This window comes from Homo sapiens, chromosome 15 (assembly GCF_000001405.40).
Source record: "Homo sapiens chromosome 15, GRCh38.p14 Primary Assembly".
NCBI lineage: Eukaryota > Metazoa > Chordata > Mammalia > Primates > Hominidae > Homo > Homo sapiens.
In genome coordinates this window covers 30,624,929-30,649,389 of record NC_000015.10, presented here as the reverse complement: position 1 = coordinate 30,649,389, position 24,461 = coordinate 30,624,929, and the positions used below count along the sequence as shown (strand labels likewise).

Sequence of the window (24,461 nt, the reverse complement as noted above, 5' to 3'; positions counted from 1 at the left end):
GGAATAAATATGCCTACTTCAAAAATAGTTATCTCACAGACTACGTTAAGGACCCTTTATCATATGCTATCAAGGTAATATAACCTGAGATCAGAGAAAACCTCACTAGAAGTGGCTTTGAATGGAGAAAGAGAATAAAAGAAGATTCCTACCAGAGAACTTGTCTACCTCAGTATCATTTTATTCAAATTAAAACAGTTTTACAATCAAACTTCAATTCTTAAAAGCAGAGGAAAAATAGTATGTGTGAATTTTGGTATCCAAGGGGATACTAGAACCAATCTCCGGGCTGATACAGAGGGATGACTGTACTTGGAAATGATTTGGAATGTCTGTTTGAAAATGTCAACAGGGGGCACGCCATTCAAGGGTATAACATGTTTTAAATAAAAGTGTTTAAATAAATATTTCATTGATTCATTTTTAATGAGCATACCATAAGCCTTCTCAAAGTATTAAATGCTCAAAGTATTAAATCCTACTTTCTATTACCAGATTTTACTTTGGGAGAGTAACATTACAAGATGTATAATAAGAATTACCCTTATTATTAAGCATTTTCTAAACTCCTATTGTTTCACCCATATTTTACCAGCATCGAAGAATAATTATTATACCACTGCCACAATTCACAAAATCCTTTCACCTCCGTTTTTTCATGTGCTTTTCCTAACAGTCATGAGATAAGCAAGCTTCATGATAATAACTGCAACTTCTACAACCCCAACCCCATTGTAAGTGAAATACCCACTAAGAATCAGGCACTATACAAGGTATCACATATTTACCTCATTCACAGTGGAATAATTACAAAAATCTATGAAGTAGTTATCTCATCTCCATCGAAATTTTACAGATGAGGAAACTTCGACTCAGCAATTAAAGTAATTGGCCCAGAACACAGATCTTTGATCCACACCCAGGTCTGTCTGAATCCTAAACCTATGTCATTTCCTTGTTCCACTCACCCTCCCCAGGAAACAGAGAATGAGAAAAAGATAATCATTTGGCCAAGTCTTACAGGCAACAGGAACCCAGAGCCTTCTAACACTTGATCTACGGTGCTTTCCACCTGGTATGCTGCTCCTATAAAAAGTAAGGACACTTCCTTCCATTGGGAGTTTATAAATCATAATCTCATTAGCTTATAAATAAAATCATAGGGAAGCTACGTGCTACATGAGGGACAGATAAGGGTGGCCAAGGGAAACTTTGAGGAAGTATAACTAAATTAATACACAGGGATCAGGGTTGAAGTATTTTATAACCAATACTCAAAACAGTAACAGTTAGCCTGGCGCAGTGGCTCACTCCTGTAATCCTAACACTTTGGGAGTCAGAGATGGGAGAATCACTTGAGCCCAGGAGTTGGAAACCAGCCTGGGCAACATAGAGAGAGACCTTGTCTCTATGAAAATAAAAAAACAAGAACAGTTAATAAAGTTTCCAGGAGTAGCTTAGATAATCCCAGAATTGTATATTAGGAGAAGGGTTATTTTTAAATATTCTAAAATTTATAATTGGAATGCCCATAAAAATTGCCTATGAGTAGAGTCATCATTATGTCAGAAAAATTTATGATAATTATTTAGGACTGTGCTTTTGATAAGTATGTATGCTATAACTACTTAATAAAGTCATGAAAAATAATTTTTAAAATATAAATGTTACTTACATATCCCAGTTTGGAGCTATCCGCAAATACTGGATTAGCAATTAGAACTAGAATAAAAAATTTAAATATAAAAAAAGAAAAAATTAAAATATTTAACTCACACAACACAGAAAGTGACAGCAAAGTTAAAAACTCAGATCTTTATAAAAAGGAAATTTATGCTGTATACCAAAAATGATATTTACTAAATTACAAAGGCACTTGTATATGAATAAGATTAAAATAGAAACTAAGAACAGTACTTTTAGTTTCTCCTACCACTTTATATTCTCTAAATGACTGCCCTTACCTGATAGACACACACCAACTATCGAAAAAAGTAACCTTAATACTATCCTGGGAGCAAATGAACTTAAATTTTTTCAAGCCAATTCCCAAATGAGGGCCCACTACAGAAAACACCTCTGAACCACCGTAATTCCTTTCTGAGGATGACTCCAAAAACTCTGCCAATCGATGCTAAACATGAGCCCAAAGAAACAAAAAACAAAAAAACGCTGACAAATTCCCATAAGCTTACCAATGGACCAAGATTGTCCAAAACGTAATATTCCCAGAGGATAGGAAAAAAATGTCTTAGGGGGTTGATGTCTGCCTTCAATGTCACAGCAGAAACCTTGCAGTTTACCAGATGACCCAGTAAAGGAACCAACACCCACAACCCATTCCACATGGGCAGTTCATTCCAGTCACTGATGAGAAGGGAAAAGGTCTTATGATATCACGTTTTGTTTTGTTTTGTTTTGAGATGGAGTTTCGCTCTTTTTGCCCAGGCTGGAGTGCAATGCCGCAATCTCGGCTCACTGCAACCTCTGGCTCCCAGGTTCAAGTGATTCTCCTGCCTCAGCCTCGCCAGTAGCTAGGATTACACGAGTGCACCACCACGCCCGGCTAATTTTGTATTTTTAGTAGAGATGGGGTTTCACCACGTTGGCCAGGCTGGTTTCAAACTGCTGACCTCAGGTGATCCACCCGCCTCAGCCTCCCAAAGTGCTGGGATTACAGGCATGAGCCACTGCGCCTGGGCTAATTTCACATATTTTTTTTTTTTTTTGAGACGGAGTCTCGCTGTCGCCCAGGCTGGAGTGCAGTGGCACAATCTCAGCTCACTGCAGGCTCCGCGCCCCTGGGGTTCACGCCATTTTCCTGCCTCAGCCTATATATTTTTTTAAAATCTTACAAGTTAACATAAAATGGAAATCTAAGTATTACAAACAACAACAACAGAAAGTTCAAAATCACCATCTACTCTCATCTACTTTAAGACCTAAGGATTAAGCAGACGATAATTTGCATAAACCTAAAATCATGATAAATCAGTTTTTTCATGGTAGTTAAATCAAATTGCTATTTTAGCACTTGTTTGAGCCTCTATAAAAACATACATTTAAATGCATAAGTCATGTCACAGAGGCCTACCAGCGGGGAAAGGAGAAGCCTGGTGGCCACCTCCTGGTGACCAGCCACCATGCACAAATAGCAAAGGAGATTAAACTTGGCTCAGGAGGTCCCCGAGCTCTTCTCACTGGAGTCGATCTGCGAGCACACTTGTTACAAAAAGTCATTCCAATCTTGGTCTTTCAGAAATTATAACTTATCCACTGCCAAGGAAAGAAAATAACAGAAGTATGATGATGAGAAAAACAACTGCTGGAAACATTACATGAGAAACACAGAATTACGACAACTAAGATGAGGATAAAGAAAACATTACACTGTCAAAATCAAAAATACTCCAAAGATGACACTACTTCTATTTGTCCTTCTATATTTCCCATCTCTTTATCTACACATGGAAACTTTTTAACCACTTCAATGGAAAACTATGCTTTCAAATAAAGCAGATGTCTAAAGCAGAATTGTCCCACAACCTAGACTATAACAAAATGTAAAGTTGAATACGACTGAAGTAAAAGACAAAAGAGCCTTTGTATAAATAAATCAACTCTCAAATATTGAGAAAAGCACAAATCCCAGTTATTAAAAAGTTCCAATAAAATCACTGTAAAAAAATAACGAGGATAACATGATAGCTAAAATCACCTGAAATTTTAGCTCCAAATCCCTATACAAAAAAAGGGCAAAATCTAGGAAATGTGATACCCCCTAAAATTAACATATTTTTGGCTGATCTCAATCTTTAGACAAAAGAAATTGTAAATATAATTTCCTAAATAAACCAAAGAAGAAAAAATAAATAGTATTTCCAGGTAATAATTCTCTAGGTTTGCATAAATAGACCTACTTGGCACTGAAAGCACTATTAATATTTTGCTTCACTTTGGTCTTTCAAAAACATCCTTCACAGGTTTTTTTGGTTGTTTTTATCGGTAATTAGGTTGACTGATACAAACCCTTAGCTAGTTTATTTAAACCTAAATATATTTTAAATTTATTTCAAATCATAGATTCTAATCTAGCCACAATGAATAATTTTCCCCAAATTGAGTTTAACAGCTTAAAATATAATTTGTTAAAAAAAAAAGTTTAAGGTATGTAAAAATTTCTGACTTTCACCCTAAATAAGATTTTCATTAGCTCAACAGAAATGTAATAATTATCCCTTAAGTATCTCCACTCCCACACCATCTCCACAGTCATGAACCACCTAGTCCCGTTCTCAAATGTCCTGGTCCCGCCAATAGAATCCCAATCCTTCCTTGTTGTCCCCAACCCTGTGCACCTACACCTGCCATAAATGGTGGAAATTCAACCAGCTCTATGAACGGAAGGGAGGAGGCCCCCCACCCACTCTACAGGAAAACTTGCCCAGATCTACAGGAACCTCCCCACACACAAGAGGACAGGGCAGCCCAGACTCATGTCAACAGCTGGCACAAATGAATTACAGATTACTTACAATTCACATAACACTGACCCAAGAATATAACCAATTGTCAAGACAAAATAAATTTAGTTATTCACATACAAATATTCCATTTGTGAATAAATTTCATATTCGTATCTGTATACAGACAGTCTACATGTTCGATAAGTCCTTTATGATCCTACCTGAAAATGCTGGTAGATGCAATATTTTTGGATCAAATTTAACCGATGGTGGTTGTTTCATTATCTGTGGTTAAAAAAAATAAAACCTTTTGAGACAATTTTTGAGATTGATATGTCTCCTTATATGTCCCTTATATCAGATAATAAATCAATGAGGACAAAAAAAGAATGTGTAAAATTTGTTACCAAAAACAATAAGAACGATGCCTTTTCAGATTAAAACATACAAATATAGATAATTTATTTTAAAAAATCATTTCAATTGATATCTGTAATAAAATAAAGCTTCAAAGAAAAAATTCACCCCTATCTTGGCTTACTCTTTAGATAATTTACCTCTAATTAGAAATTCAGTCATTCAACAAATATCTATTGGGTACCGTGCCAAGGTAAGGCTCTATGCCAAGTGCTAAGGGGGATACAAAAATATAAAAGACACAATCCTATTTTCAGAGAGCTGACATTCTGGTTGGGAAGATGAGACAAACATTTGATAAACAACAAAATATTTCACAATTCAAAAGAGGCAGGACATAACTACAGACAAAACCCTGGACAGAAAGAATTTTTTTTTTTTGTAAATAGTAGTTTAGAGAATACAGCAAGCACTTTACTTGATATAGTTGGCACTGGGTTTACAGAAGAGGTATAAGGTGGGTTGAGGTCTTGAAGGATGGCTGGAACTTTATGGTTATATCAGAGAAGACTCCATTCAAGGAAGCCATAATAGCATGAATTGGAAAGTGCACAATTTGAGAAATGTGAAGAAACCATGTAGTTGGATCCATGAGCTTCGGACAGCCAGATACTGCATCTTGAGACTTTTAATTAAAAATTCAACCATCATTTCTATACCTAACTTCTGCAAAACTTCTATATGTAATATTTCTTAAAACCTTTACTAATTAAGTAACCAGCATTACTGTATTTACTGCAGTATTCTTACTAAAATGCATATTCCCATTCTAATCTCATAATCCAAATTCATAATCTCATTCTAATCATGAGAAACCCTTAGACAAACCTAAATTAAGGGACATTCTTCAAAACACCCAACCAGTTACTCTTCAAAGTGTCAAGGACTTGAGTCATACGTTTTATAACATGTATTACAAAAACATACAAAGGCCAGGTGCCGTGGCTCACGCCTGTACGCCCAGCACTTTGGCAGGCCTAGGCAGGCGGATCATGAGGTCAGGAGTTCAAGACCAGCCTGGCCAACATGATAAAATCCCGTCTCTACTAAAACTACAAAACTTAGCCAGGCGCAGTGGCAGGCCCCTGTAATCCTAGCTACTCAGGAGGCTGAGGCAGGAGAATAGCTTGAACCCGGTCGGCAGAGGTTGCAGTGAGCTGAGATCACACCACTACATTCCAACCTGGGTGACAGAGTGAGACTTCATCTCAAAAAAAAAAAAAAAAGAAAACTGTCAAGGTCATGAAAGGCAAGAAAAGTCTGAGAAATTCTGACAAAACCATGAAAGACTAGGACAGATTATATGAGACTAAGGGGGCATAACAACAAACTGTAATGTGGCATCCTGGAAGAAAACAAAAAGAATATTAGAGGCAACTGGTAAAATTCAAATAAATTTGATAGTTTAGTTAACAGCACTATTCTCATGTTTTATTTTTCCTTTTACAGAAAGAATGTAAAAGGAGCAATCAGGGTACTGCACACCATCATTACACAGACATATGAATCAAGTATCATGCAACTCCAACTACCACATTCTACTGCCCTCCAATAGCAGCAATTAGATTCAAAGCCTTAATTTCTATCCCAAGCAACAACCGAAATCACTTAATTTCTGGTTAGAAACTTCAAGTGTCAAATAACCCAACTCAGCTAAGAAAAAGCATTCATTTCTTACTTTTGACTTGCCAATTAAAGGTCAGCTTAAGCATTACTTTTATATTAGAGCTTTTCTTTAAACTCTTTTAATAATACAAGGCAGGGATAGGCACCATTGCAGACTGGAAAAAGAACAAGATTTGGAGACAGGCTTGAGTTTGCTCCATCACTTACTAAATGGCTTTAGGCTCTGAAAACGGACTTCTATGATGAATATTACTGTTATCTATATAAAATATTTAGTCAGTATCTAGTACATAATACTAATTAATGGTATTATAAAAAATAAGCTATTGGCAAACAAGTTGGAATCTGAGTATTTGAGATATACCTGCTGGCCAACTGCTACCCACCTGACTCCTGAATGTAATTTGTTCAATATTTTTGGCAAGTAAACAAAAACTAATTATTCTATAACACATTCCTAATCCCTTGGCTGCTGCTGTGTTCCATGCAAATAATTACTGGTACAACAGAAGCTCAATTATTTAACACCATTTATATTATGAAATCAACTATAGTAAACAATTACAAAAGAAGTAAAATAGTTATGAACAAAGGCTCCATATACATTTATGTTTGAATCACACCCAGGACACATTCAACAAACATGAACCCTCTCAATTCATCTGAGTTATTAATAAAGAATTCACAAAGTTTCCCAGAGACATTCACATTTTTTCAATTATGAAAACGGAAAAAAATACAACCACCTTAGAAACTTTTGGGTGCATTTAGCTAAAGAAAATTTTGGAAGCCAATATTATACATCTAAAGTGTCATAAGTAGCTTTATTCTAGGGCTGCAGTCTAGTCACTTTAAAAATGTGTCCAGCCAGGCACCGTGGCTCACGTCTGTAATCCCAGTATTTTGGGAGGCTGAGGAGGGCAGATTGCTTGAGGCCAGGAGTTCAAACGAGCCTGGCCAACATGGTGAAATCCCATCTCTACTAAAAATACAAAAATTAGCTGGGTGTGGTGGTGCATGCCTGTAATCCCAACTACTCAGGAGGCTGAGGCACAAGAATCACTTGAACATCGGAGGTGGATGTTGTAGTGAGCCAAGATCATGCCACTGTACTCCAGCCTGGGAGACAGAGCGAGACTCCGTCTCAAAAAATAAAAATAAAAAAATGCGTCAATGGTCGCAGAAGGCACAGTCAGAATATATGGAACAATGCAAATTTATCACATCTGTAAGAAAATTATGGCCAGGCATGGTGGCTCATACCTGTAATCCCAGCACTTTGGAAGACCAAGGCAGGTTGATCAGCTGATGTCAGGAGTTCAAGACCAGCCTGGCCAACGTGGTGAAACCCCGTCTCTACTAAAAATGCAAAAGAAAATTAGCCAGGTGTGGTGGTGGCCACCTATAATCCCAGCTACCTGGGAGGCTGAGGCAGGAAAATCGCTTGAACCTGAGAGGTGGTGGCTGCAGTGAGCCGAGATTGTGCCATTGCACTCTAGCCTGGGCAACAAGAGCAAAACTCTGTCTCAAAAAAAAAAAAAAGAGACAATTATGAATAGATACTCTATGGACTACAGACTAATGTTGTCTTTATATATTTTTAAAAGCATCATATTTTTTATAATCTAAACTTAGAAATCAATCTATTTTCAATTTTGCAAATGGAATTTGTTGAATTGTGGCTGAGAAAGTAGGGTCAAAGAAAAGTGGTGTAAAAATAATACGATTATTATTGTTGAACTTTTAAATTTTTTTATTAAAAAATTCATTGATTAGGCAAGCTCAAACTAAAAATAGAACAAGACTGTTTAACCTCTGTTTTGGGAGCTTGGAGGAGGAGAAGAAGGAATCAGTATGTTCATTCCTTGGGGAAAATGTAATGCTAATAAGCAAAGGCAGGTAGAACTACAACTCCCATTTGCCATTTGGAAAAAGTCCTCCAAACTGCAAAGGCTTTTAAATATTCAAAAAAAAAAAAACTGAACTATGTTACTTAAAAAAGTTTAAGTCTCCAACCTGTGAACACTGCAAAAGCTACAGACATAAGCTTCAGAGTTACTATCATCACATTTCAATGAGCCCTAGAGAACCTGTGAGGAAGTGTTTTTTCTGGAAAACCTCAAGTTGCTATTCTGTTCAACTTCTCAATAAAACAAATAAGAACCCTTTTGGACAACAGAAAAAAGAGACAGGCTTTGGGAAGGAACTCATATAACTCAGATAATGAATCAAAAATGAAACTTAACATTGTCTGAAACCAACAAAATAAAAATCTAAAATAATCAGAGATCACTCACATTTTGACTAAATGTAAGATAAATGAGATGGAGGACCCTGGGCTTAGAGTTTCATTTCATTTTTGGTTGATCGTAAGGTTAATATGAGCCAACTTGAATTCTGTATATGCTAAAAGAGCCAATTGAATCTAAGACCCAGACTAATCTCCGGATTAGCATGATCATACTCTATTACTCTCTGAAGGCTCTGGTTGGCCACATTAGAACTTGTAGTTAATATGGAAGAAAATGGCTGGGCTGGTAAGGGATCTGGAAGCCATGGCACAAGGAACAGCGTCAACAAAGTTCTAAAGCTTTTACAAAAGGTACTTGAGTCTAAAACTTTAAAAATACCCTCATTTTCAAACCATAACCTGCAATAGTAACGCTCCCACTTGGGAATCAGACATGATCAAACATCTGGCAACCTCAATTCAACAAATGACAGCAATAAAGCCACAGCTATAGACCCAGATGTAACTATAGCAGGATTCAGGATGTCTAATCACATAAAACCTAAGCATCAATGCTATCACCAGAAGCCCAAACTACTACTCTGGGTTATCACAACTTTCAATAGATGTTGTCATAACACACACACACACACACACACACACACACACACACACACACTCTATATTGAAACACTGTCTATTTTAAAAGGCAGGGGGTTTTATAAAAATTCATAGGTTGGATAAAACAGAATAAAGTTCTAGTTCCTAAGGGTGGTATTATTAATATGAAATTGCACTGTGCCCAGAATAGGCACTCATTTTAATCTTTACAATCCATTTATATAAATTCTATTTGCTACCTGATACTGGTATAGAACTGCTATTGAAGAGATTACTTGGCAACAGCTCAAAGTTAAAATTGTGCTTGATGGACTTCCTTTTCTTACTTGAGAAACCATGAGAAGAATCTACTGGCATGGCAATTTACACTTAGCATTTGGTGTAAGAATCACTGGTGATTCAGATAGCTGGGCTGAAAAAATATCAAAACAAAACCAACTTCTTGCTTCTACTGCAGAGTTGACAACATATAAAAGCTTTACATAATTTCTTCTTATAAAGCTATTACTTAGAGCTAAACAAAAAATGAGAATATATTTACATCATCAGTTAAGTAGATGTTGTTTAACTAAAACACTCTGCAATTACTTAAATGAAAATAAGGAAGTCGCAGAGGCAAGACTCTTAAGAGACAGCAGTTACTTAAATCTAACAGACTAAAAGATGCATATGATATACATTAAAGAATATTAATGTAAGGAAGAAATTACAATCAAGGAGTTGAAACAAAAACTAATCTAAATATTATTTTTGCTTTTCATCATAAGTGAGTATTAACCAGTTCATTTCTTCACTCTAGAAAACAGAAGATCATGTTGACTCTTACTGGCTGAATAATTTCAGCCACAAGCAAATTAGGATAAAAAATTGAAATATACAATAATGAACTTCTAGTCCTAAGATAAAAATGAGGTTGAACTATTTTCACACGTTCAATAGCATCTAAATTACAAACAGAAAAGCATGATTAAGAAGATTAAAGACATAGGAAACTAAAAAAATTTTTGCCTACAATTTTGGGTTCATTATAGCCTATGTAATTAGCAATGTCACAACATAGTGTGTATAGTACAGTATGACTATTAAAAATAATATTTGATTTGATTAAACTAAATTTGATTACTAAGTTAGGCAATTATTATTGTAATTGTATTTTATAGAATACTATACAAATTTTAATTTAAATAAATGCATATAATAAATACCTACCAATTCTTTCTTGTTGAGGTGTAATAGAAGGTGTTCTGTTAGGTTTAAATTTATTTAGTGCTCCACTAACAAAATCTGAAATGCAAGACATAAGCAATTACAACTTCACATTTACTTGTCTTTCACCAATAATTCATATTAATATTTGCGGTCTTCTTTCAACATGTAACTTTACATCGGCTTATAAATTTTAAGTTATTTAAGAGGAATTATTTCAAAATAGGAAAAATACTAAAGGATATATTTTTATTCCATTCCCCACTTATACTTCCATATCCCTAAAATAAAAAAGACATAATACAGAAAGAAATGTAATACAAATACATATAATGTACAGTAAGGGTAGGGAAAAAGAAATCATTACATGTTAAGGCAAAAGATGAAGGTCTGAACTGAGGCAAGAACCATGGAAATGGAGGCACGAATAAAAGTATTTAAAAGATCAGTAGAGATGGAAGTAAAAACATTATATCAATAAATAATGTAAGCAAATGAATAAAAGTGTCTGGAAAATAAATAACACCGTTTGACTAAAGTTGCTCAAAGACAGGAAATAGTAGACAGGTAGACAGATTGCTAGAGCAATCCTATGAAAGACCTTTAATGCCAAGCTATAAATATCCCTATTACCAATTAAAATTTCTGAAGGGTATGTGTGTGAGATACTTGAGTAGAGTTATACATTTAAAATGTAAGCCTTGGCCAGGTGCCAGTGGCTCACACCTGTAATCCTAGCATTTTGGGAGGCCAAGGCAAGCAGATTACTTGATGTCCGGAGTTAGAGACCAGCCTGGCCAACACAGTGAAACCCCCTTTCTACTACATATACAAAAATTAGCCAGGCATGGTAGCGTGCACCTGTAATCCCAGCTACTTGGGAGACTGAGGCAAGAGAATCGCTTGAACCCAGGAGGTGGAGATTGCAGTGAACCAAGATAGCATCACTATACCCCAGCCTGGGTGACAAAGACAGACTCCGTCTCAAAAAAAAAAAAAAAAAAAAAGTGAGCCTTAATAGCAATATGTAGGGTAGATTCAAGGAGGAGGCATAAAGACCAAGAAGATTCTTTTTTTAATTTTTATTTTTGAGACGGAGTCTCGCTATGTTGCCCAGGCTGGAGTGCAGTGGCCCGATCTCAGCCAACGACAACCTCCGCCTCCCAGGTTCACACCATTCTCCTGCCTCAGCCTCCCAAGTAGCTGGGACTACAGGCGCCCGCCACCACGCCCAGCTAATTTTTTATATTCTTAGTAGAGACGGGGTTTCACTGTGTTAGCCAGGATGGTCTCGATCTCCTGACCTCATGATCCGCCCACCTTGGTCTCCCAGAGTGCTGGAATTACAGGCGTAAGCCATCGCACCCGGCCAAGAAGATTCTTACAGTAACAATGCAATAAACACTATGGAGATAGAATCTTATATGACACAAAAACTGTCTGATTATAGATGGTAGAGGAAGAGGTAGAACCCATGGTTAAAGCCTGAGTTATCTAGGGAATAGTGGTGCTGTTAGAAGAAAATGGAATTCACACAGAACCAGGATAAAGAGGATAAAGATGGTCATTTCAAAACGTTAAGCTTAAAGCACCAATGAAAAGCAGATGTGATGAGGTCTCCCTAGCAAGCCATTAGTAAAGTGGAACTGACATTTTCAAGATAACGGTGGTACAGATGTGGTGGTTATCTATTTAGATGTGATAACTGAAACTACAGGACTGGTGATAACTGAAACTACAGGACTGGGAAAGAGGGCAATAAAGATGATCTGCATCTGAGAAATATCTCCATTTGGGATAGGAAGTTTTATGGGTTGCATTGTGTTCTCCAAAAAACCTATGTTTAAGTCCTAACCCCCAGTTCCTATGAAGGTGACCATACTTGGAATTCGTGTCTTTACAGATGTACTCGAGTTAAAATGAGGTCATTTGGGTGGGCCCTAATCCAATGTGCCCTGTAAGAGGGAAGTTCTGACACAGAGCAACACCATGGGATGACATAGGCAGGGATTGGAGTGACGCGGCTGCAAGCCAAGGAATGCTAAGGACTGACAGCCACTACCAGGAGCCAGGAAGAGGCAAGAAAGGATTCTCCCCTGCAGGTTTCAGGCATTCTGCCAACACCTTGATTTCAGACTTCTGGCCTCCAGAACGGTGAGACAAATTTCTGTTGGTTTAAGCCACCTAGTTTGTAGTACTTTGCTACAGTAGCCCTAGGAAAATCATACATAAGTCATCAGTATTATCCTATCTACAAAGGAGGTAAAGAAGAAACACAAGTATGCAATAACAAATAAACCAAAAGATGAAAAAGGGATTGGGATAGTTAGTAACATTTGGTTCTGATATTCAAAAGATAATAAATTTCCTAAAGTAATTGGAAGAATAATGGCCTCTGATTTCTTGATCAAGGAGATTGCAAGTTTTATTACCAACTCTACCATCTTATGATGGTCTTTTGGTCTTTCTGATTCTTCCTTGATAATATTTCCTTCATTATTTAGTTCGTACTCCTAACTAACTAATCCATGTCACTAACAAGTTCAAACAATAATCTCATGCCTGGACTACTGACACACATTGCTGACCATTCTCCCTACTTCCAAGTCTCAATTCTTCAAATCAGGTAATTTTCTAAAATTTTTAAATCATATCATGCCTCACATCATAAATCTTCAATGATTCACCAACACCCAGGTTAATATTCTAATTCTTTAGCCTGGCATTAAGTTTACCATAATACCATCCTTTATCCTTATGCTGAACACTTCACTCAAGTCATACTGCGCTATCTACATTAGACATAGGTTACTTCTTCCCTACACAAACCTTTCTTCATAGCATCCTTCTCATCTAGAATAGGATACAAGTATTCTGATCCTCCACCCAATCCCACTAAATTCTATCCATTATTCAAGAAGGTTCAGTTTGGCTCCTCTTTGACAAGTCCCTGATAATTACAATCCAGGGAGCTTTTCTCCTTTTAACACATTTTATGTTTGTGCTAAAGATGTAGCACTTAACATTAGATTGTACTATCGCTTTAACTTTTTACACGCATACGTCCTATCTTTCCAGCTGTGCTTTAAGCACCAAAAAGGCACATACCACAGTTCATGCTTCTTTATGTGAAATGTACTTTCGATTAAAGCAAATCACTGTACCTCCATAAAATGGGACCACCACTTACCTCCTACACGTTGTCTTCTCTTTCTCTTATATTCACCAGGAGTTTCATATTCACCTTCTTCAAAGCCTTCCAGTGATGGAGTAGCACAGAGACCATCAATACCCAACATGGCTGGTATCTTTTCCAGGATAAAGTCTGGTACACGCCCTAAATGAAAATGTTCACAAGTAAGACAATTATTATCCTTCCTCCACTCTTCCCCAAAAATGTTTAGATACTAATATACCAATTTCTTTTCTTTTTTTCTTTGCAGGAGGGGCCGGTACTGTAGGGTGGGGGTGAGGTCAGTAATATACCAACTTTCTAACAGTTGCCTTCATAGTTCCTTTGAAAGAAACAGAGATTTTCCTCATTTAAACAAATTCTGTTAATAATGCAACTACATCTTACCAATATCTGATGCATAATCGATAAGAGTCTGTACTACTGCAGCCTGTAATCGTACCTTCTTTTCTGCGTTAGAAGACATCTTTTCATGTCCTTCACTTGTCTGAAGAAGATTTGGTGCAAATATTACTGCAAGATTGCTGCTATCCATCTTATTCTCACTGGATCTTAAGTGAATAAACGCTTTATTAGATGGAGCCAAACGTGAAAATACAGAAGAGTTAAAATAACGTATGTAGTACATTTTGAAGACTTTATTATCAGTCATACACAAGTCAAAATAGTTACCCTTCATCTACATGATTGGCTTGAACACAAGAAAGAACCAGAAATATATAGCCTCTCTATATTTAAATATGTATTCTAAAAACCATGCTAATCTTAGAGTTCATACTTTGCTTTTCCACACAAATTGAACATCTTTATCTGATTTTCAGACCTACACATAAAAAGTTGGAAGTATCAGAAGGCAGCAAGTATGTCTAGAATAAGCAGGCTCACTGACAGCAGGGAGAGGGAAATTTTGAAAAGCAAAACAGAAATATTTTAAAAACCCAGTAAACAAAGGCTTTCAGTGGACAATGAATCTTATAAACACCAATGATGAACCATTAAGGCATTCATGATGATGACTTTAAGATAAGGAAATATTAAATCATTTGGTATGCTGTTTCTTAAATTAGAGTATACTCCTCATAGTAATGAAATATGGAATTTTTAAAGAAAAATTTCCATTCCAAATGAAATTGTACATATCTACAAGCATAAAACGTTAGTTGAAAAATTCAACTATTATTTGCCAAGAGTTTTAATTACCACTTACCTAAGAGAAACATTCCTGAGAAAGTTAAAGAAGTATCTTAATACATGAACTGTGTGGTCAGCCAGAAGACAGGAGAGCAACAGTATAGCTTTATTCTTTTCCTCTGTGCCTAACTGTTGAGCTTTCAAAAGTGCTTCATGCAAATCAGCTGGGAGAATGGGCTCTGGCAGTTCCCTAAAAAACTGCTTAAGAAGTCCCGCAATATCACAAGGAGGTGCAGAAGATAGGCAACCTTCACCATGATCCACTTTATTCTGAAATAAATATAATAATCTTGAGTATTTTGGCAACTTAAGAGTTTATTGCAAATAAAGAATCTTTTGTTATACTCTAATTACACTTTTCTTTAATAAATTTCTCTTAACTCTTATTTTAATATATGTCACTACTTTATTTTTAATGATTTTTGAATTTATTTTTATTTTTATAGAAATGTGGCACAGACTATGTGGCCTGGGCTGGCTTCAAACTCCCAGGCTCAAGCAATCTTCCTGCCTTAGCCTCCCAAGTAGCTGGGACTACAAGCATGTGCCACCACACTCAGCTATATCACTCCTTCTAGAAGGCTAACAACAATATAACTTAACACATTTTTTCATTTTACATAATACTTGATAGAAATAAGGACCATGAATTTAAAAGTACCCTATTAAATTTTTAAAGCACGATAGAAATAATATACCATTTCTTTTGGAAAAAAAAAAATCTTCTGCCATGAAAAAAATGCAAATTCAATTTCTGTCAACTATTCATATTAATAGTTCTAAATATTTCAGTTTTAAAAACCAAATCAGAAAATGGCTCAAATGAAAAATTATAGTTCAACAATATGCTCACCTTTAGTGCTTTTAGGCGAATCACAGATCCTGATTTCCGAAAAAGCCCTTCGGTATGAATATGTTCTTCTAAAGATGTGCAAGCATCGACAAGAAAGCTGAAAGAGAGATTTTTTCAGGTGGCTAGACATACATATCACATCCTATTCCTCTGCTAACATACATGAGCAGGCCAAGCACTACAGACCTTTCAGAGGCTCTAAAGCCACAAATCTCTGTAGTCTTTGAGATGAAATGTTACTTTTAGTTGTCTACTTGCTTTCCAAATTCTTCTCCAAGGCCCATCTTTTTACTTATAACAACTCCAATATGCACACTAAATTTTATCTTTCTCAATCCTACTTCATTTCTGCTTCCCTTCAGAGCGTAAGACTTGTCTTTTTTTTCTGCCTCTACTTCTTCATATCTCAGTCTCTACTCACCCCTATCCAATCATTCTCATACCTCATTACTCCAAAGAAATAGCTCTCTTCAAGCTCACTAACAGCCTCTGCCTTGCCAAATCCATGGTCAGTGTGTTGTCCTCGTATTGCTCGATCTATCACCATTTGACACACCTGATCCCTTCCCTGTTCATCTCAAAAATACTTTTTCACTACTCTTTTAGTTTTCCTGCTATCTCCCTGCCTGCTCCTTCTCAAATTCCTTTTCTCACTCCTCTTATGTGAAACCTCTACATGCTGGAACAACCCAGGGCTCCGTCCAAGGCCACCTTCTTTTATCTACTATCTCTTCATGGGTGATTTTCTCATCTCCTACATCACCCAAAAACAGGGCGAGGTTTTTTTTCCTCACCCCAACATTATCCCTCAGAAAAGTAGGATATATCCCAGTCCTTACAAGCCTTTTCATATTAAGGGGAATGTGCTCAATTTCTTTATTTTGAACAATGTTCAAATAAATCTCAATGTTGGCTTTAGATACCTAGATATTGAACAGCTGGGACCCACAAATTAGAATGAATATCGGCTACCAACAATTGATACAGCTGTATTGGTGCACAGTGGCTGAATGTCAGCCTTATTTACAGAAGGTAACTGACAAAACAGTCTTTTTAATTAAATAAAAAGTAGGTCATGAAATTGCAATGAAGATTTAGTCATGATTCCTGGGAATATGACTTTGCAATTCCAGACGCCGAAAATCTGCTTTTTTTTTTTCTTTTAGTTTTTGAGACAGTGTCTCGCTCTGTCACCCAGGCTGGAGTGGTGCGATCACTGCTCACTGCAACCTTTGCCTCCTGGGCGCAAGTGATCCTCCCACCTCAGCCTCCCGACTAGCTGGGACTATAGGCACACATCACTACGCCCAGCTAATTTTTCTATTTTTTGTAGAGACAAGGTTTCACCATGTTGCCCAGGCTTGTCTTGAACTCCTGGGCTCAAGCAATCCACCACCTGGGCCTCCCTAAGTGCTGGGATTACAGGCGTGAGCCCCCGCGCCCGGCTAAATTATATTCTTAAAACATAAACTTTCCTAGTAATTTCTGATGCAGTTAGAATAGGCCAGCACAGTGGCTCACGCCTGTAATCCTAGCACTTTGGGAGGCTGAAGCAGGTAGATCACCTGAGGTCAGGAGTTTGAGACCAGCCTGGCCAACATGGTGAAACCCCATCTCTACTAAAATACAAAAATTAGCTAAGTGTGGTGGTGGACACCTGTAATCCCAGCTACTCGGGAGGCTGAGGCAGGAGAATCACTTGAACCCAGGAGGTGAAGGTTGCGGTGAGCCGAGATCACGCCATTGCACTCCAGCCTGGGCGACAAGAGCGAAACTCTGTCTCAAAAAAAAAAAAAAAAGAACAAAAGGTTATTTATAAATAGTAAGTGGCATAGAAAAGCTAAGTGATACATAATACATTTTCACAAACACTCTAATATCTTAGCTTAAATATTCTTTTATCCAATATTTGTTTTCAAGAGACAGGGTCTCACTCTGTTGCCAATGCTGGAGTGCAGTGGCAATGAGCATAGCTCACTGCAGCCTCAAACTCCTAGGGTCAAACAATCATCTGCCTCAGCTTCAGGAGTAGCTGGGACTACAGGGGTGTACACCACCTTGCCCAGCTGATTTTTCTTTAAAATTTTTTTTATACATGGAGTCTTGCTTTGTTGCCCAGACTGGTCTCAAAATCCTGAGCTCAAGCGATCCTCCTGCCTCGGCCCTCAAAATGCTGGGATTATAGGCATGAGCTACTGTGCCTGGCCAATATTTTTTTAACAAACAAAAAAAAGGCAAAATTATTACTGAATTGGTAATTCAGTATATTACTTAATCTGAGTTGTGGCAAAAGAATTCACATAGAACTGAAAACTGACTTAACAGAACAAAAATTTTTTGTGATTTCTAACATTTACTCATTACTGGACTTTAAAATTCAATCCTGGGAATGAGTACAAATTATAAATTTAAAATATGTAAAAGTTAAAAAAATATTTTTAACATTATGAGAGATTAAATCATTTGCTGGTTTGAAACAATTATGTTTTAATCAACTATTTCTTTTAAACTCTCTAAAACCAGTTTGAAATGCTTACTCTCTTCTTCTTCATTTCCCTGGCTAGAAGGCTCACTGCAGCCTCCACCTCCTGGGCTCAAGCAATCCTCCCACCCCAGCCCCCTGAGTAGCTGGGACTACAAGTGTGCTCCGCCAAGCTAATTTTTCTATCTTTTGCGACAAGGTCTCACCATGTTGCCCAGGCTGGTCTTAAGCTCCCGGACTCAAGTGATCTGCCCACCTCGGCCTCTCAAAATGCTGGGGTTACAGGCATATGCCACTGCACCCGGCCTTCTTCATTTCAAACTCTGCTTACCTTGGAATGTGTCCATATTCTGGTACAGCAGAATGGGGCAGTGCATTAAAAGGTACTCCAAATATTTTACCCTAAAATGACAAATTCAGTTACTCTAACACAAATATTAGGCATAATATCAGTTTTCTTAAACTTTAGGCAAATTAAAGAACTCAGGAAATTAAAAAAAATCAGAAATAAATGATAAACTATCAATCAAGACAAAAATAATCATTTCAAGTGCATTTGATAACAAATAATTACTATATTAGATAGTATGCTGAGTGCTGGGAGTACAAAGATGGCCAAGATAATGTCATTCCCCTCAAATAATCTAGTAAACTCAAGTTTCCAATCTGATCATAAAGTCAATTTGGTTAGTGGTTAGTCAGTAAATTCTTAAAACAGAATTTGGTCCAAAACACTAACATTTACCCCAAAACACTATAGGTTGCTTTAATGATCTTATAAATACTTACTAGATACTTTCTTTTGGTCACCTTATAAATACTTACACAAAAGACTAAGTCAATTGAAAAGCAAAACACTAATTCCTGTCATTCATTGAGTCTTCCTAAAATTACATCAGAAGAGGTTATTTTTATACCTAATACATTTTCCACCTTCTATAGAAGAGTGCTTTTCAAACCATGCCCTGCGGTAAGCAAGGCAGGAGTGTGCAAATATTTAAGTCAAACTTCATTTAACTAGCTGGAAACCCATTTTTAAAACCTCACATTCAAATTTTAATACACTGAAGATCCCAAGAGTAAAGTTGTTTGTTGGTTAACTTGAATGTTTTTGCACACTGAAGAATAAAGAATCTGCCACTATCTTTGTGCGTGCATTCGAACCTCTTAAAAATGTGTCGCTTTCCACAGCACTGAAAGGCAAATTCAAGCCTGTAAATGTCTGGTTATTCAAACTTAAGTGGGTATGCATAATCTCACATGTTAATTTAGTTTACATGCATCTGCTCTGTGAATGCTGAAGTACTTTTTTTGATGTCACAAGTTATCAACCAAGAAGCATTTATGTTTTATGAGCATTATATTTAACTTTACAATAAAAATCACTCAGCATTGTCAATGACGCAACACAGTAACAAAATTTTACTAATTCCCTTTCAAGCACCTGGCTCCAATTAATTTACAAATATTGTAAGCTGAAAAGACAGTATAGTATGGTAAGGGCTTAAGAGAGTAGGCTCCTGAAGGCAAAAATGACAGGTGTATTTTTTTTGAGACGGAGTCTCACTTTGTGGCCCAGGCTGGAGTGCAGTGGCACAATCTCGGCTCACTGCAAGCTCCGCCTCCCGGGTTCACCCATTCTCCTGCCTCAGCTTCCCGAGTAGCTGGGACTACAGGCGCCCGCCACCACGCCCAGCTAATTTTTTTGTATTTTTAATAGAGACGTGGGGCGGGGGGGGTTCACCGTGTTAGCTAGGATGGTCTCGATCTCCTGACCTCGTGATCCACCCTCCTCGGCCTCCCAAAATGCTGGGATTACAGGCGTGAGCCATCGCACCCACAAAAATGCCAGGTTTTACATCTTAACTCTTGTACTTAACAGCTGAGTGACCTGGATCAAATTAACATTCTGTTCCTCGGTATCCTCACACAGATCCTAAGTCATAGAGGTGTAGGAAGAATTAAATAAATTAAAACATACAAAACACTTGTATCAGTGTCTGACACACAGTAAGCATTCAAAAAATATTTGTTAATCTTATGATCATCATTTTAAGCTGAACTATTTAAAAAAATGTTAGTATGGGCAACCCCTTTATTGGGTAAATCAGAATTTTCTTGATACTGTGCAGCCAAACCAAATGTAAAAATAAACCAGATACTTAGGCTGGTAAGTCTACTTCTGTTATATATAACTAGAATTCAGCGTGTTTTTTTCCTTAAGTCTTATTATTTAGAATAACTGGCTTCACAAGTAACCACTAAAATTTAATCTCATAAAATGTTTTTAAAACTTAAAACTACAGTTAGCTAACAAACACCAGTCGGCTAAAGAAATTGTTTTCAAACAAACTATCCCATTAGATCTCATAACACAATGATCTTCTACATTTCTTCATTAGAATATTCTTATAAGTGTTTCTAGCTGAATTTATATGGCGTGATTACCAATTAGGAGGCAGACCAATGATATGACAACTATCATTAGATGAAGTGGCATGTGACACGCACTGTGCTAGGCCTACATAAAGAGCTTCACTTTTTAAAAATCCCTAAATAATCCAAGGAGAAATACGTTCCCACTTTATAGATATAAAACTGAAGCTTAGGGAAATCAAACAAGCAGCCCAAGTTTACAGATGTAGTAGGGGTGGAACAGCACTCAAACTCAGGTCTATCCGACTCTGAAAACAGGCAACAGTTTTTCTTGTTAAGGGGTGAAAAGGACAGGTGCAGTGGCTCACGCCTGCAATCCCACCACTTTGGGAGGCCGAGGCGGGCGGATCACGAGGGCAGGAGATCGAGACCATCCTGGCTAACACAGTGAAACCCCGTCTCTACTAAAAAATACAAAAAATTAGCCAGGTGTGGTGGCGGACGCCTGTAGTTCCAGCTACTCGGGAAGCTGAGGCAGGAGAATGGCGTGAACCCGGGAGGCGGAGCTTGCAGTGAGCCAAGATCGCGCCACTGCACTCCAGCCTGGGCGACAGAGGGAGACTCCATCTCAAAAACAAAAAAAAAAAAAGGAAAAGAAAAGAAAAGGGGTGAAAAAAAGTCCATATACAAACTCTTCCATATACTTACAAAATCAGCTACATTTGAGATCTTGGAAAGCCAGTTTTACAATCAGAAAAAAATCACTGTAGCTTTTTAAATGTAAGTACATGTATTGCCATTAATTTGCTACCAACAAAAATAACTTCTCCAAAGTTTATCAGCGATTAAGAGACACACATATTACTTTTGTTAGTGGTTTTCTTCTCCAAGCACTTTTTTTTAGAAACCATAAACTATTAAAAGCAACGTATATTAACTTTATTAGCTTGTCTCCAAGTACTAGGAAGTACCATATAAATTAGGCACATAAATTTAAAATAAAATGCTTTACATTCAGCTTATTTTTCACAATGCAATTCCTGATTATGTGGCAGAGCTATTAAAATCTCATTCAAAATCCCTTTATTTCAACCACCAAAACATCAACAACTTCTCAATTATTCCACTCTGGCTTCTCAATTTACTCATACAAAAAAAAAAATTGCTGTCCCAAAAGTATGATATGGCCAAGCAGCAAATCTGTTTCCCAAATTAGTGAATATGCAGTCATCATTTGAAGCCTATTTCTAATGTTCTGTCATACTTCATCTACAGATTCATGTAGAAAATGCACTGGTCTCCCTTGTCCCTCTACAACCTTACTCTAAAACAAGGGTGGAGGGGTAGAGTTTTTGTCCCTCCCAACGTACTACCTGTTCCAAATACAGTAAGCTGGCAATATCCGGAGACATTTTTAATCGTCACAACTGAGAGATGCTACCAGCATCTAGTGGGTAAAAGACAGACATCCCGCTAAACATCCCACAATTCACAGAACAGCATTTCGTCTTCCCCTAACAAAAATTATCTAATCCAAAATGTCAATAGTGCTGAAGTTGGAAAATCCTGCAACTTTCTCTCAATGATCAAAAATCCTTGGGGAAAAAAAAAACAAGAATGTCACTTTTTAAATATCAGCAATCGATCATCTGAACTGAATTACACACCTAACCATTCTTTTTGATACACAGAGTGAACATTTTAGCACGATCTGCTAATAAGTGATGATAAAGGGTGTGCCCTTTCTTTTAAACCTAAATCCCTTTTCACAGAACTTACCCCTATTTCCGTGGCTGCTGTTTCATGTCTCCTGCGATCGCACTGCCCACGGACACCCTTCACCTTAATACCATAGAAGGCCCGCAGATGCTGCAACAGGGCCAACTTCACCAGCCTCTGATCCCACATTCCGGATACGTCGATAACTCTGAGGCAGGATGCAGGTCCTGACCCTCGTTCGCCACCAAGTCTTCCAATTTCCAAACGCTCTCAAATTTGAACTCCGCTCGGCTGCTTTCCGGCCCCGTCTGGCACTTCTGCGGCCCCGACCCCCGGCCACTTCCACGGCTTTTCCTTGATCCTCACTCACATCCACTTACACAGACCCGCTTCTCTTAGCCCTTTGATCCAGCCACACCTCACTCTTCCTTCACTTACAGCGACCTTCTTTCTGGTCACCCAATGCTTTCAGCTACTCACATAGACTTCTTTCTGATTCTTTCGGTTTCTCGCCTATTGCCAGATTCTCTCCACTTCCTGCTACTTCCAACGATCCCCCTTCCTCCAAACCTTACTGTCCGTCTGGTTCGCTCTGAAATGTGAAGAGAACCCTTCTCGCTCCTCCAGCCCCAGCAGGCTCAACTGGGCGCTCGCCCCCGCCCTAGCCTGGCCGCCGGACCAGCCGGCTGCTCAGGCAACTCTTCCAGTCCCGGTGCCCGCCCGGGCTGGTAGCCGCCGTCACCCCGTCTCACAGGCTGCTCGTTCCCTCCCCCATCAGCCTGCCTCTACCTCCCGGCCTGCACATCCCGGTGCGTTCACTGAAGCCAAGCCGTTAGCCTCATGCTTCCGCCCCCAGCTCCACTGCAGACACCCGGAGCCACCACGGGGGGGTCACACCCGCAGTTTCAGCCCAGGCTCAAATGGCAGCGCCAAACAGCGCTCCACATCTGATTGGTCCACTCCTCTTTTCAAAATCAGGACCCCGGAGGGTGGCCGAGAGCTGCCTGTCTAGATAGGTGCGGGCGAAGGGGTGTAACGGGCAAACCCAGCAAACATGAAAAGCAGGATGAGTTTCACTTGTTCCTTCAAGGCCAGTTTTTGGGGCGGGGGAATACTGTTTAAAGGTTTTTAAATACACCTGACCTGCGCCTCAGACCATTCACAGTATTTGAGGAAATGTAAGAGACAACTTATTCCCGTTCTTTTCCGAGCTCGGCTGTCGCTGAAGGCCCTCTTACGAAGAAACCGTTCTACGGAAGCCCAGTTGAGACAACTTGAGACAGGATTCAGAAACGCTGATTTTAGTAACCTTAACCCTCGGCCTTTGGTGGGAACTTCGGCTCTGTGGGAATTAGTCTTTGGGGGACTGATGGTGATGCTGAAATCTTATTGCGTAGGAAATTAAGTACAACAAAGAAGACCCGTCGTGAGAGGAGAGTGCGGAAGAAATGCGAAGTCTACGGGAGGTGGCAGCTGCAGAAGCTTGGTGTTGGATTTGGAGTTAGGAGACCGGGAGGAGCCCAGCTTCCGGTCCAGACGGTTATCTTGTTGACTTGCACGACTGCAAACGCCCTGAGCTGCTTTTGCAGTCTGAAACATCAGCGATCCCATCAAAATATTCTGTTTCTTGGGATATAAGAAACATCCCAAGGCGGGCTGTAGAGCGAGAGATTTGGACTCGATTTAAATACAGACAAAATAGTATGCATTTACTAACACCACATCTCACCCCCACGAAACTTGGTAAGGGCAGCAACAGAACTTTATCTGCCATATGCACTCCTGTATTCCTATTACCAAATAGTGCCAGGGACTAAGTGAATATTTGCCCAATGAATGAGTTTTAAGTAGGAAACGTTTGCATAGAATCATTTTGTTTCTTTTGGAGTTCAAATCTTCGGATATTTTACCCTTCCCAATCCAAAGAAAAGTCTCTGAGTGAAGAGATGGGAACAAAATGTAAGTTAAATATGTTGCTTTAACAACTGTTTATTGAACTCGTGCTATATACTGTAGAATGATGAGCAAAACCAGGCACAGTTTCGGCCCTGGAAGAGGAAAGGCAGGCATATATTTATCAA

At 38.2% G+C, this 24,461-nt stretch overlaps 1 protein-coding gene, 1 long non-coding RNA gene and 1 pseudogene across 10 annotated transcripts in view, besides 5 other annotated features; 1 reads left to right on the top strand and 2 right to left on the bottom strand.

The window, feature by feature from the left end:
• LOC100288637 (OTU deubiquitinase 7A pseudogene) overlaps nt 1–3,275 on the bottom strand; it is a 126,895-nt pseudogene extending 123,620 nt beyond the window's left edge. The window contains exons 1-2 of the transcript NR_038253.1: nt 3,095–3,275; nt 1,676–1,722 (exon numbers count right to left, since the gene is read on the bottom strand). The product of NR_038253.1 is annotated as an OTU deubiquitinase 7A pseudogene, transcript variant 1 (transcript). The remainder of the gene's footprint in view (nt 1–1,675; nt 1,723–3,094) is intronic.
• ARHGAP11B (Rho GTPase activating protein 11B) lies at nt 161–23,262 on the bottom strand. Of its 2 annotated transcripts, NR_148423.2 has the most exons (11): nt 22,441–23,262; nt 18,617–18,687; nt 15,804–15,900; nt 14,967–15,220; nt 14,202–14,310; nt 13,757–13,903; nt 10,570–10,644; nt 4,688–4,751; nt 3,095–3,276; nt 1,676–1,722; nt 161–1,086 (listed from the first exon to the last, which is right to left on the bottom strand). NR_148423.2 is itself a non-coding variant. In NM_001039841.3 (7 exons), the coding sequence occupies exons 1-6, from the start codon at nt 22,567–22,569 to the stop codon at nt 13,760–13,762; spliced, it is 804 nt and encodes a 267-aa protein (NP_001034930.1). In that variant the 5' UTR covers nt 22,570–23,262; the 3' UTR covers nt 10,580–10,644; nt 13,757–13,759. The 2 variants fall into 2 exon arrangements, 1 of the variants encoding a protein (NP_001034930.1); NM_001039841.3 differs by lacking the exons at nt 161–1,086; nt 1,676–1,722; nt 3,095–3,276; nt 4,688–4,751 and having other exon boundaries at nt 10,580–10,644.
• Nucleotides 20,657–24,461: part of a non allelic homologous recombination region, noted in NCBI's record as "15q13 proximal microdeletion recombination region, recombines with the 15q13 distal microdeletion recombination region", that runs on past the window's edge. NCBI's record gives the evidence for it as "EXISTENCE:DNA microarray evidence [ECO:0005524][PMID:25326701]" and "EXISTENCE:nucleotide sequencing assay evidence [ECO:0000219][PMID:25326701]".
• Nucleotides 22,536–22,711: a silencer, noted in NCBI's record as "fragment chr15:30918882-30919057 (GRCh37/hg19 assembly coordinates)". NCBI's record gives its function as "represses an EF-1alpha promoter that drives an FKBP-Casp9 reporter gene in an ReSE screen in K562 erythroleukemia cells {active_cell/tissue: K562}" and the evidence as "EXISTENCE:reporter gene assay evidence [ECO:0000049][PMID:32094911]".
• Nucleotides 23,203–23,454: an enhancer, noted in NCBI's record as "nonconserved acetylation island sequence 49". NCBI's record gives its function as "activates a minimal heat-shock promoter by reporter assays in Jurkat T cells {active_cell/tissue: Jurkat}" and the evidence as "EXISTENCE:reporter gene assay evidence [ECO:0000049][PMID:17135569]".
• Nucleotides 23,203–24,355: a biological region, named in NCBI's record as "NANOG-H3K27ac-H3K4me1 hESC enhancer GRCh37_chr15:30917238-30918231".
• Nucleotides 23,362–24,355: an enhancer, noted in NCBI's record as "NANOG-H3K27ac-H3K4me1 hESC enhancer chr15:30917238-30918231 (GRCh37/hg19 assembly coordinates)". NCBI's record gives its function as "activates a minimal SCP1, AML or CMV promoter by ChIP-STARR-seq in primed H9 embryonic stem cells {active_cell/tissue: H9 hESC(primed)}" and the evidence as "EXISTENCE:reporter gene assay evidence [ECO:0000049][PMID:30033119]".
• Nucleotides 23,612–24,461, top strand: part of ARHGAP11B-DT (ARHGAP11B divergent transcript) — a 34,584-nt gene continuing 33,734 nt past the window's right edge. For 3 of the 7 annotated variants that reach the window (NR_157595.1, NR_157594.1, NR_157597.1), the window contains exon 1: nt 23,612–24,123. This is a non-coding gene — a long non-coding RNA (ARHGAP11B divergent transcript). The other 4 variants (NR_157596.1, NR_157599.1, NR_157598.1 and 1 more) reach the window with 2 other exon arrangements.